Genomic DNA, 13,556 nt, shown 5'->3' with positions numbered 1-13,556 from the left:
CCCCAGGCTGAACAATTTTATCTGGGAAGAGATGTGGCCAACTTTCTAGGGCTGACTTTGATCCAGTAGAACATGTCTTTTACAAGCATTTACTTTACCAACTGGGAGCTCAGTACCCTCCCCTGTGAAAAACACCCAGGCAAGTCCAAGGTAAAATTTCAGCTCTCACCTGCTAGGACAAAAAAGGTAGAGATGGTCAACATAATCAGGCCAATCCAGCAATTTCTAGAGCAAGATATCCACTCTTTGAACTTCTATGTGTTTCAACATCCCCAGGACTCCCATTGTTCAGACTGCCTGTGTGTGGGGTGGTAGGGGTGGAGGGACTGCCTGGCTCATTTAAGCACATGTTGACCAGACATCTATACAGAGCAGAATTGTTCTTACATCAGAAACAAAAACTTTAGTAATTCTAGTTTAAACGCGATTGAGCCGAATCAGAGATGCAGTTTATTCTCTCCTAATTTTTCTCTATTTATAGCCTCACTTAGTGACAGGTCTGTTGCACAGGAGTGGCCTCTTACTCAACACATCTGCTCCCCATGTGCTGCTGAGTCACACATACTTTTTTCATTACCAAAAGTAACAAATATTTATTTTCTCCTTGGCAGTCCCACAGAGTTGTTGCAACAGAGGGAAAAACAAGTGGGATTCCATTCAGCTTGGCTCCTAAAAAGATCCTTATTGGTGCTTGTGCCTGTACTACTAAGAGAGTTGTGGAAACCTTGGAATGTGCCCAGAGTAGAGCAATGGAAATGATTGGGAAAGAGGATCTATGAGAAAAGGCTCAAAGAATTGATATGGGTGTAGAAATAAAATTGTGTGGAATTACAGATAAACTATTTCAGGTAAAAAAACAAAAAAATTAGAGAATAGCCTACAGCTGAGTTTCCTCTAAAGCAAATTTTATAAACCTGAGACAGGCTTCAAGGAACTTTTGAACCCCTCTTTCAAATATTATATCTACATCAATCTTTAATTTTTGTATGAGCCTCAGATGTAATCATGCAATATTATCTTAAGGTAATGGCATAAATTATGTTTTTCTCACGATGATGTCAGAGGGCAGAGGTGAAAAACTGGGATTTTCCACTCTTTGTGATTTTCTATTAGTAATTCTTTAAATTGCAAATTGCAGCTTTGGACTTACACATCAAACCACGTCTGACCTAGAGGACAAGGAGTGAAAATGAATAGGCTAGCCCACATCGTTTCTCTGAATCAATTTTATAATTGAACTGCACTTTAAACCTTATCTTTAGTCTTCTCACAAGTCTTATAAATGAATGTCACCCTGATTTGATTGACTGATCTTCGTTTCACACCCTTCATAAAGTAGCCCAAAATAGCTGCTGGAAAACATTACAAACCTGCTGAGTTTTAGCAGTCGTCAACTTTATATTGTCAGAATTTCTTGTGGGTGAGTTATAATTAGGTTTATTTATTAACTATAAAAGCTCCTGAAAGAAAATATCACAAATCATGCCATAGCCATCTCATCTTGTCACTGCTTCTCTCTTAGGAAAGACAACATCTTATCCACTGTCATTAAGGATCATTGCTTAGAAAGAAATTTTAGGAACTAAAAAGATTGACTTCATACTGTGACAGTGAATTTGCCTTTTCTTTAAACTGGCTTATTTGCTATCTTAATTGCATATGTGTGAAATCACAAACATTCACAGGATAGGCTCTACAAAGGCATATTTGCTAGTATAATGATCGCTTTCCTTATATAATCTGGTAATGGACTTAGCATCATTACACACATTTTGAAAGAAAAAAAAAAATCCTTCTATCAAGGTGGCCTAAATCAAAAAGAATGTTAGCTGACTTGAACATCAGCTGCTGCTTCGTGACCTTGATTGCGTTTAGATCACCTACATTCCCCCTGCTTCAGAAGAACCCACATTATGCTAATGACCCTACTTCCCAAAATATCTAACCCTCTCACATCTAGTTAAGCTAGTGCTGTTCCAAAAACATAGATCACCCAAATGCTCAGGTGCTTACAGAAAATTCACCCTTTCTAATAAGTCATTTTGGCTTGCCACTGCAAGTGTTCATGCATAAAACATACAAGCTGAACTCAAGAATTTCTGTAAAAATATGTGCCCCAGAATATTTTTCATGACTTAAAAATCATGTATTTTAAATTGTACACCCAATGTAATGTGGGAGTATAGCATTTTTAAGATATATTTAAATACTTTAAAGAATTATTTTTCTACCTGTGGCTTAGCTAATGCAATCTGTGTTACTTACCTTTCCAAAAGCTATTAAATAAAAACGTAAAATTTATTTCACTTTTACATATAAAACTCAACTTTCTGCTCAACTGTAAACTCTCTGTGGGGATAGGAAATACAATCCCAAAATCTAATCTGTTTTTTAGTCTTAAAAATCATCTGACAGCTCTCCAAATGCAAAGTACACACACATTTTGAAAGTTAACCTTCAGGAAGTATAAATAGAACAGAGAAGCATCTTCCTGTCTCATTGTGTGTTCAAATGACATAAATTGATTCAAAATCTATTAAGATTAATCTTTCAAAACTAATACTCTGTGGTTCGAAGGTTACTGAGATAGTTTCCCTTCATACCTTGACATGTTTTATCATATCTCAAAAGTGTCTTAAGGGCTCACATATTATCTGATGTTTATCTAGGTTATTGGCCCATTCCATTCATAGGCAACCCAAGCTATTTCTTGTCAGACAGAAACTGATAAAACTTCAATAGTATTCAAGAACCTTTTCCAGCAAAGTAAATATCCCATTGACATGCAGTAGCATTAAAAAAAGAAAGAAAAAAAAACTGGTGGTCCAATGTATTATGAATGCCTATTTTCATAAATGGGCTTTTAGGTGAATGTGTAAGCACATAGTACTACGTCTGAAAGCTAGCTACTAAGAAAGAAACATTTATCTGCCATAAGAGTGTCTTTAAGTATACATCAATTCAAGAAAAATGATATGGCAGAAAAGTAGTTGTGAAATGAATGTGAGCAATAAAGGCAACCAATAGGGATAACTCAGGTCCCAAATATTTGTCTCAAGAATAGGATTTTGGCAGAATTCCCAGATTATAATTTCAGCTCTCTATTCAATTTTGCAATCATAAAGAAATCCAAAAATGATAATATATTGCCTTTTTTTCCCTAATGAAACAGCCATATATTTGAGACATATTTTTGTCTCAAATGAAATAAGATTCTGATAGACCTGGAAAAACATGTGGACAAAAAAATTTGACAATTTTAAACATTGTTATATTTCATGAAATTAAGTTGATAATAAAACCCGTGGGCTGTGCCTTTATGGAGGGGGTAGAGAGCATTTATTGGGAAGACAATTCTCACTAGGAAGTGGCTGTGCCACTAATATTTCTGAAATGCCTTAGAAACTTAGAAACAAAAACATTATTAAAATCTCTTCTCCAGGAAGTTTTGTTTTCATTCATTAAAGTAATCCACTGTTAATCATGATTCCATTATTCTTGTCCTTAAACATTATCCACTCCTTCTTCTGGAGAAAGTCAAATGCTGCTCAGACAGGAATTCTTGAAGCCTGGTGTTCACATGGATAGGGGAATGTGTCTAGCCAACCCTGTAAGTAAGGACCCTGCAGTGAGCCACAGCATAGACTGATGAGATCAATTTCTTGTCTTCAAAAAACACATATTCTTGATGTTCACTGCAGGTGCCAGAAGCAAACTTCAGGGAGAGTGAGACTAAAACTATCTTCTAAGGAATAATAAGAAATATTTTGTTAACAGCCATTTGAGATCGGAAAGTAGCACTCCTAGAAAAAGAATTTCATGCTATCATATACCATCTGTTTAAAATAATGAAACAATATTAGAAATAAGAAATGTCTTTTATTTGGCTATTGTAAGTATTCCAAAAATTGTTTATGTCCAATTACTAAGCAATATTGTATACATCTGGAGTCAAAGTATTATACACTATACCAGGTCTATAGGTAATGAATTTATATATTACATGCCTATCCAGTTAATGGTTTACAATTTCTTTTATGTAGTATTATTTTGAAATGTATTTAGGGATCGAAATGAAATGTTTTCAAAAGAAAGATCCAATAAGCAAAAGAGAAAACTCCTGTAGCAGGAGCTCCATTTGAGCTCCTTTCCTACTTGTCAGGGAAAACTAACAAAAAATATATAAGTAAATAAACATTTAGCAAAAAATAATAAAATCAACTGACCTGCTGGTAATCTCTTATTTAGGAGTATGAAGTTAAACAAACAAGAGAAGATGAAGGAGGAAAAGAAGAAGATGGAGGAGGACAAAGTTTTCAGAAGTGCTTATTAGAGCTATTACATGCCAAATATCTACTCTGTGGGAAAAGCAAATTTCACATTTTTATCAACTCTGTATTCACACATCTGATCAAGGTAACATCTTAAAATGGGTAGATGAAATAATGACATGAAAAAAACAAAAAGAGATCCCAAAGATAAGTTGATATAAATGTCAATGTAATTCATCTGAAAAACTCATTCATGTTGAGACTCTAATTCAGCAAGAAGTGTTAACTCTAGTTAAAAATAAATTAATCAAGTCTAGTATCATAGATTAGTAAGTCAAGGCCCACCCAAGGTCATATAGTTAATATGTGACAGAATTGCGATTTTATTATACAGTACTAGAATTAGAAATCAGTTAGAGTCCCCTGATGAAGATTGAGTCTTTGTAAGCATCTTCCAGTTTGGTATAGAAATGGGTTAAACATTAAATGTTGATTGAGAAAAACACCTAGACACCCCAGAAATACTACTTAAACTTCAAGGAAGATGAGTGTTGATTTATCCCACAATCTCTAACCAGGTATCTCCCTCTAATTTCTATAATCTAAGGTTTCATTTTTTCTTTCCATGAGACGCTGCTTCCAGGGGAGTTTAAAAAGAAGCAAAGTACCTTTCAGATTACTAGTTCTAAGCATGTAATATGCCCTCATGATAATTACACTTCTTTCTGCTTTCCCCACTGCATTTCACCTGAATAGAGCTGGAACTAGATCTATAAGCATTCATAGTGTATCCAATGAGAGACTCTTTATTGTTATTTTAATTAATTTTGTCATCCAGGCTGGAGTGCAGAGGTGTGATCATAGCTTATTATAACCTCAGACTCCTGGGCTCAAGCCATCCTCCCACCTGGGCCTCCCAAAGAGAGACTCTGTTTTTAAATCTAGGATAAGGCATATCTACCCCCGGGTAGCTTTATGGTGAGTTGACCAGAAAAGTAAATTTCCTTTTTTTTTAAGGTTCTACCACTTTTGAAAGTAAATATATATAACATAACAATTGAAGGAACAGTGAGGTAGGGGAAAATATAGTGGCATTCTTTATTTTTATTTGTTAAATGAGACAATCTGATTCACAAGAGGAAAATGTAAGCTCTTTATGAAATGTAGCAGTAGTATTCAAGGTAATTTGGATTTTATATTAGATATCACAGATGTTAAGTGCATGCCCAATAGGTAATAATCTATTTAGGGAATAAACAACTTCAGTCTGTTTTAAAAGTATTTATATGTTTTATTTTATGACTAAATATTGTCATTGAGCTAAAATAATTTATACAGCTACAAACATGAAAACATTAACTGTGGATGTAATTCAAGCAAGTGCAAGTATCACCTGTCAGTTGGCTGTTATGAAAACAAATTATAATTAAAACAAACAAATTAATTCAATTTCTCTAAAATTCTTTGCAAATACAGTACAGCTATTCAAGAAATGAAAACTAATTTGACTTCCATTACTCATAATTAGCATTCGTTAATAAGGCAAGAACTTTTAAACAAGCTATAGCATCTCTGCCTCCAAGAGTAGAAGGATTGGCTTTTATTACATTTAAAACATAATTGGTAGCTTAGATAACTTACCTAAAGCAATCCAGCATTTTGAAATTTTGAAAAGAACTTAGCTGCTCTGGGCTGTAATCGTCCTGAAGAAAAACTGTCTACTTTCTGTTCCCAAATATCCCACCCAAGGACTATCAAAATCTACTAACTGAAATGTTGTGATAATTTGAAGGCTTTCTTTTCTTATTTTTGTGTAAAAATCAACATGTAATAGATAAGGAAAGTATAGTCGGCTCTTTCAGTTTTGCAGGTACCTGAAACATTCTTGTATACCTTCAGAGAATGAGGCTAGATAAGAAAAGAGGGTCATTTTATGCCTAAGACGTGGTTAGAATTTAATTTCCTTTTAAAATTTATTTTGAGCAAAGGGAGCTTTACTTAAACACACTGCGTGATTCCACTGGATTGTCACAGACTTCCCTCATCTGTCCAATTGTTCTGCTCACAGCATTCAGGAAACTCTGCTCGCCATCTCTCTTGTTCAGTTATGTCATTCTTCCTCTCTCTTCTTGTTCAAAGGCTCCTGAAATCTGTTTTCTTAATACAGGTTTCTATGACTAAGAAATACAAAAGAAAGCAAGCTAATCTTTCTGCCCCTAATTTTTTTCTCACTAGCACATTTCTACTATGCAGCAAAACCACTCCTGGATTAGTGCTTGTACTTTAGCACTTTCCTATCAGTGCTTGCATAAAATGAGCTATAAATGCCTCATCCAAAATAGATGGTGGCTTTTTCGGCTTTATATAACCACATTCTTTTATATGTTAATCCATAAAAGTTCTCTTCATTTGAGATACCTTGAGATCAAGGACATCATCATTTTGAAATAAGTCTGAGGATCCCATAGAAAATGTTCATATGACATAAAAAACAGCACGCTATAGAATTTGCACTAAATCTGCTCAGCACAATATCCAAAAGTTTGCAGAGACTTGGAGCTAAATTGGGTGTGCTGGTGATTATACTTGGTTTAAACCAACAGCAGAGATTCACTAGCCAAACGAAATGAATGTCTCATGTTGTTTATGCATAGTTTTAAAAAACAAAACTACAACAAATACACTTATCAAATTCTATGTCAGTAAATTATAAAACCTAGAAGTTGAGAAGGAAGTCAAATATATTGACTCTCACACTGACCAGAAAATAAAATATAGAATGAGAGGGTTTAAAAAAGAGGGGAAAAAAAGGAAAGAAGAATGAATTTTAGGCCTATCAGGGGCCATCCCACAATATCCTGTTAGATTTCAAAAAGAGAATATAATTAATTGCCCACAGACATTCATTTCATCGGGTGTTTTTAATCAAATGTCTCCCTAGAATTTAAAGCTGATTGCTGTCCTAAAATGCTATGACATGTACACAGGCTCTGAAAGATCCATCTGGTATATGTAAGTCAATATGCATTTTGGGAGGCTCAAGGCATCTTCAAAAGTCAAAACTAGCAATCTACTCTCTGCAATTTACAAACTAAATAGTACTAGTATTTTTGCATGCATTAGCCAATTTAACCTTCATGATAACACAAACTAATAACTAGAGCCAATCATTACTTATTTTCCATTTTACAAATATAAATTGGGTCCAGAAAGGATAAATAATTTGTCCAAAATTATATTTCCTAAGAATAGCAGGGCTGGGATAAGAATTCAGAACCAGAGTATTTAGTCATTTTGACCATCTGAATCCCACAAAGCCTTTGAACAAAACCTTATCCAACATGATTGGCACTAGAAGTTGATCATTTACTCTAAGAAATCAGTTAAGGTAAGAAATTGTCTTAAACAATTTACAGGACAGACAGACATGGAGAAAGAAATGAATACATTAACAGATTTATCTGTAGATATTTTCATATATGGCCAAACTTTTTCTTTGGTGGGTATCCTATTTTGTGCTCCCCACAAAGCACACACTGAAATAAGGATAAAGTACAAGTGGCTTATTTGAAAGTGCTCCAAGAAAGCACAATGAATAAAGTAGGGAAGAAGATTTAGAGAAGGGGAGAAAAGTCATCAAGGTGTAGGTTTAGCTATGGAAACTGAAATTCAATCACATTTGAAATTCTCTGAGGAACTGTGTGGTATTTCAAAACTACCCTTAAAAAAAAATAGAAAGCTGGCTATATATTTATTCATTGATGTCCATGCCTCATTGAATCAGAGTTTTACCTGGGAGCATTAAACCCCTAGCGCTTTAGGTGGCCTTGGCACTGGACTGAGCAAGCTTCTGTATCTCTAAGAGAAATCCTCAGGCAGAGTCAAAGGAATGCATGTGTGTGGCATGGCAAGCTATAAAGCTGCTGGGCACTGTCTACTGAAAGTGCAGGTGATCACAGAAAAGCTGTGGATGGAGCATGAAGCGTCAACAGTGTCTGCTACTACTATGGGCAGTAGAGGAGAGCTCCTGGTTGGAATTTCTCATCATTTTTCTGCTTAACCCACAACTCTTCCCTATTTTTGATAAATATAATTTTATGTTCCCTTAAAATGAAGTAAGAAATTAAAAATACTTAGAAAGAAAAGTGTAGAATCCTTTAGGTGATTTATTTTTTCATACTTTTATATACTTTCCCAAACCTTTACAATCATTTTATCCTCAACAAATTCTACAGAATGCTTTTTGGAAATGTTCTATAATAAACCTTCCCAACAACTCAAACAACAACTTTATTTCATTCTGCAATATTTCAACTGTATACAAAATAATTTCTTAAAAATAGATATGACTCTTGGAAAATATACAATTTAGCTGGTTGGGTGGCTAAGGCAGATGAATCATCAAGCTTTCTGCTTGCCTTGGACATTAGGTGCTATGTTTACCAATGAAGTTAAGACCATGGGCTAACCTTGTGGGGTTTTTTTAAGTGGAAATTGCCACTGTTGCTGGTATTTACTGCTGCTGGGAATCTTAGTCTCAGTCCCAGAAGAGGCTCATCATTATTTACATTTTACAAAATAAAATGCAAAGAAAAAATGATTCACTGTGTGGTCTAAAAAGGCCACACTATTGCCATGTGCACTTACACCCAGGTCACCAGAAGGCACACCCATGGCTAACTGATGAGGCAAATCACCCATTCATCTAAACAGTGAGGCAATGTGATTATAAAAACATTAGCAAATTAAATAAATAATTAAATTAAATGTATTGATGTCACTAATCCATGTAATCACAGCCTTAAATAATGACTAAAATATATTACTTTTGTAAGAATCAATCACAAATCCTAGCCAAAAATATAAAGTGGGCAAGCCTGTCAGCCTTGCTGTCTTCTCCTTTCCTGAAACTTCACTCATGTTTAGGCACTTTTGGCCCTTTGTCTGTCCCTCCTCAAATACTCCTCCTTCCATCATATGGAATAATTGCTAGGAAGCAGGCACTCATTTCAGGACTTCATTTCTAGGTTCCATTTGCATCAAAATGGGGCTGTATGACTAGTTTTTAATGGGATAAAATGGCTGGAAGCAAAGTATATTATTTAATGGTCCAGATATTTGAAAAATGAGCATGCCTTCTCCCTTCTCTTTTACTATCTGTTGGCTGAATATCAAAGCCTAGGGTGTCCTGGAAGATAACATGGCTGCTGGCAGCCTGGTCTCTGAATGTCTGAATGAATTGATCATGACTCTTTTCTAGCCCCAGTCTCTGAACTGGAACTACCTTAGACTGTTTAGCTACAGAGAAAAAGAAAAGGGATTTCTGGAGCCTAGGTTTGAAACAATGTTATGTGCTTCCCCAAACCATGCCATTTTCCTGGGCATACAAGAAGACTATAATGCCTAGCCTATCCTGTTTTCACATTTCATATCTCTGCATTCTGGCTAATAGAATTTGGGTATAATTGATGTATACTATTCCCAGACTCAGCCAGAAGGCTTCTTCCACAATCCTGCATTCTCACTACTACTCTCCTGCATTCTCCTGGAGCTACATGCTGAAGACGGGAGAAGGCTAGGTCTTGAATTGATTAGGTGGGGCAACTTACATTGACTGTGACATGACTCATGACAGGCATCAGAGTGTTCATTGAACACATTTGGTAAACTATCACCTATAGCCTGTGCCTGCTGAACTTGATCTAAGGGAAGAGGTTAGAAAACAAAGCCATCAATGTATAGGTTGGTTGCTTCTGTTGTGTTTGGTAATATGTTGTAAGAAAGAGATAGACTAAGAAAAAAGTGGCTAAATTTACAAGCATAAATAAATGAGGATGAGAATCCAGAATTTTTGAGCCTTGCTAACCCCTTCTAGATCCCAAAGAGTAAGAAATAAAATTGAGGAAAGTCTCTGACCCAGTGAAACTTTTCAGTTGAACAAGGTGACTCAGCTTTGTGCCCAAATTCAGATCAGGGATCCATCCTTCCTAAAATTCCTGATAGCCTCAAAAGAGCTGGCATTAAGCATAGAGTCAGAGACGTGAATGAGGAATTAAAAGAAAGAGTATATTTGTGAACGATATCTGAGAAAGAACCTTAGGTATGGCTACTAGGCCATGTAAATGACAAGAAAGATAGATTAGAAGATACTGTTTGTGACAAAACTATTTTTTTAAAAAAGGAAATCATAAGCTTAGTCTAAAACACTGGAGGATTTGGGGGTAATGTTAACCATTAGCAGACTAAGAGGCTGGCTGCAAAACCTGTGCAGTCCTCAGAGAAGGCAGAGCCAGGCACCCCCTAGGAGAGTTTCTTGCAGAGAGCGGAATTAGCATCTAATCAATAAACTTCTCCCTCTTCCAAAATACATAGTGCTTAAAATGTTCACCAAGCAAGTTTTAGAATTTTTCCATACCAGTGTCTGTTACATGGAGCCCATTCTTTACCTTTTCACATGACAATGTTGTCATGCTATTGGGTTTTGGGGATAGAACCAGATAAAAAGACTTTTCAGGTTATAGGATGCTGACCCAATGAAAAAGACAACACATTGTCGGAAGATTCTAGACTTTGAGTTGGAGGCAGTGACTGAATGAATTTTTTCCACCTCATTGGAAAGGTCATTAGTGTTTTCTGTGTGTAGAAGTAAGAGTGAAGTAGATATTTCATATTGGAAGTACAGACTTTGGCAGAGAAAATGCTATGTGTTCACCAAAAGCACCTTTCTTGGCTTTCAAGAAGAGTACATTTTTTCATACATCAGTTTGATTAGTTTGAGTTTCTATGATTGAATCCTAGCCATCTGAGTATGCCTGTGAGTAAAAGTGATGTATGCCACTTTCTCACATGATCAAAAAAACATCTGTATGATCATCTATTCTCTTTTTTCCCTTTTGCAGAGATGTTAGAAGCCAGTTCTTGAGAATGGCAGGACCACCTTGTGGACATAACCTGGGTCGGTGAATGACTGCACGGAGCAGAGTCCTACCTGTCAAGACGTCAGATTATGATGTGAATAAGCAATAAACATATATTTTGTTAACTCATTAGATTTGGGAATCTATTGGTACAACAGTGTATTAGTTTCCTAGGATTGACATGATAAATGACCACAAACTCGGTGGCTTAAAAAAACAGAAATTTATCCTATCACAGATCTGGAGGCCAGAAATCTAAAACCAAGGGGCTTGGCAGGGTCATGGTCCCTCCAAAGAGGGACACTCTAGGGAAGTGTCCTTGTCTCTTTCAGTTTCTGGTGGCTGCTAGCAATTCTTGGCATTTGTTGGCTTGAGGATGCATCAGTCCAATCTCTTCCTCCTTTTTCACATTGACTTCTCCCCTGTTTCTGCGTGTGCATCTCAAATATTCCTCTGCTTTTCTAGATGACACTTGTCCTTGGACATTTTTTCCAATGACACTTGTCATTGGATTTAGCCCCCCCGCCCCAATTCAACTCACTAGGAGCATTTAGCTTATTCAGTCCATTGAGCTCTCAAGCTATTCTACGCAACTTTTTTTCTCGGAAAAATAACTCTCCAAAACAGAAGTCAATGTTTCACAAATTGTAGTAACCAAAATGATTTTAGATGCTATACATGTGAATATTAATAATTACATTTGTCATTTTAAGGTTCATTCCTAATTATATAAAGTTTCACATTTAAATAGAAGTATTATAAAAGACAAAATGTCAAATAATTGAAAGAAAAAAAACTTCTATCTATTGGTAAGCAGTAGAGAATCTTCCTGAAAGTAAGGTGGCTTTCCTGTATCCTTAAAATCATGATGTTGGGAGGCTGATGGCACTGAAGAAGATGAAAGGTGGTCTCTGATACTAGGAATTAGATATTGAGGAACACAGTTGCCCAGGCAGCCTCCAAGTTTGGAGAAATTATATCAAGTAGTGACTGGCTTTGTGAAAAGCTGCCAAATTTCCAAATACATGCTCATTTTGGAAAGATCAGTAGGTCACACTCTTCCTTCAGAGTGTGTCCATAAAGGATAACTTCTTCAGTCACTGAATATCAATGATCATAGAAATTAAAACACAGAAAAAAGTACATATCAGAAGTCACAATACTGACGAACAACACTGAGCATGATGTTGGATCAAATGCAAAGCTTTGTGCGCGCACACACACACACATTTAGAATAACATGACTCATGTCCCTTATACTGGCCCATCAAAATAAGAGAAAAAAAGACAACAACATAAATTAAGAAGTTATTTGACAGAGGATTCTTTGACTCAATAGTAATTAATTTAGTAATTAATTACTGAATTGTAATTAATTATATTTAATTAAACAATAAATTAAAAGCTATTTGAACACAGACATGACAACTAGTTTCATAAAAATCCTCTCCAAAAGAAAATGTTCAAGGACTTCATCATAGCCTCTATTATACTTAGCATTTTTGGCAGCATATTCACCATAGATATCTCACCAGACATGAATCCTATCAAAATTTATGTAAATTAATATCAATTTTAAATTGAATGTTATTTGAACAAATATATTTTTGGCTTATTGTAAAGATATGAAATGAAGGCATCAAATAGCAGCACTAAGTCTCATTCTTATAAATAGATTACGGTCCAAATCTTCCTAAAGTCAACAGAAAGGAAAGACAATTAGCACGTTATTGATATTAATGTTCATTCTGTTCTTATTTCCAAAGCTATTGTATTTGCTAATTACGCTTTGATTAAAGGTTCTAGTCTAAGTTTGTAATATTTCCCTTTTTAATGCATTAAATTCCAAAAATATGCTCATTTCAGAATAGGATTATCAACTGAAAAATAGTAGTGGGCTTACTACATCTTCTCATCTATTTTGACCATTAAAAATAAATCTTTCTTCACACTGCTCTGGACATTAACTGCAAGTCAGATATATATTAAATGATAAAATAGCTGGTATCTGGGTTCCCTCTCATCTTATTTTCCATTTTATTTTAGTAAATAATCTATTTCCTTATGACTGTATTTAAAAAAATCAACCTGGTTAATAATAAGATTGCAATTTGGTGGCTTCTAGACAATAACTTTACATTTTCTCTGTTATTCTCTCTCGTTAAAATTTAAAACCTTGTTAAAACAAATATTTTAATTCAGTCGGGCTTGGGTGGGGCCAGTCATTATACATTTCTAATAGTCTCCTTGTTGATGCCAATGCTGCTGGTCTTTGGACCAGACTTTGAATAGCAAATTGCGGTCGCATCAGGTAAATGTTCAATTTTCATTTTATTAAATTTTTACTGGCTTCAATGACTATAAAACC

At 35.3% G+C, this 13,556-nt stretch overlaps 1 long non-coding RNA gene across 2 annotated transcripts in view, besides 2 other annotated features; it reads left to right on the top strand.

Moving 5' to 3' along the window:
* LOC124903296 (uncharacterized) overlaps window positions 1-11,320 on the top strand; it is a 41,385-nt gene extending 30,065 nt beyond the window's left edge. For both annotated transcript variants that reach the window (XR_007064093.1, XR_007064092.1), the window contains 4 exons: window positions 7-150; window positions 612-848; window positions 4,249-4,416; window positions 11,171-11,320. This is a non-coding gene — a long non-coding RNA (uncharacterized LOC124903296). The remainder of the gene's footprint in view (window positions 1-6; window positions 151-611; window positions 849-4,248; window positions 4,417-11,170) is intronic.
* Window positions 104-1,303: an enhancer, noted in NCBI's record as "P300/CBP strongly-dependent group 1 enhancer chr14:27310618-27311817 (GRCh37/hg19 assembly coordinates)". NCBI's record gives its function as "activates an origin of replication core promoter dependent on BRD2, BRD4, P300/CBP, MED14 and CDK7 cofactors, with strong dependence on P300/CBP, by STARR-seq in HCT116 cells {active_cell/tissue: HCT116}" and the evidence as "EXISTENCE:reporter gene assay evidence [ECO:0000049][PMID:35650434]".
* Window positions 438-732: an enhancer, noted in NCBI's record as "tiled region #1279; HepG2 Activating non-DNase unmatched - State 11:FaireW". NCBI's record gives its function as "activates a minimal TATA promoter and a strong SV40 promoter by Sharpr-MPRA in HepG2 cells {active_cell/tissue: HepG2}" and the evidence as "EXISTENCE:reporter gene assay evidence [ECO:0000049][PMID:27701403]".
* Window positions 11,321-13,556: the final 2,236 nt, after the last annotated feature.

Source organism: Homo sapiens, chromosome 14 (genome assembly GCF_000001405.40).
Source record: "Homo sapiens chromosome 14, GRCh38.p14 Primary Assembly".
NCBI classification, from domain to species: domain Eukaryota; kingdom Metazoa; phylum Chordata; class Mammalia; order Primates; family Hominidae; genus Homo; species Homo sapiens.
The sequence above is the reverse complement of the archived record's forward strand: the minus strand, read 5'-3'. Positions and strand labels throughout refer to the sequence as shown.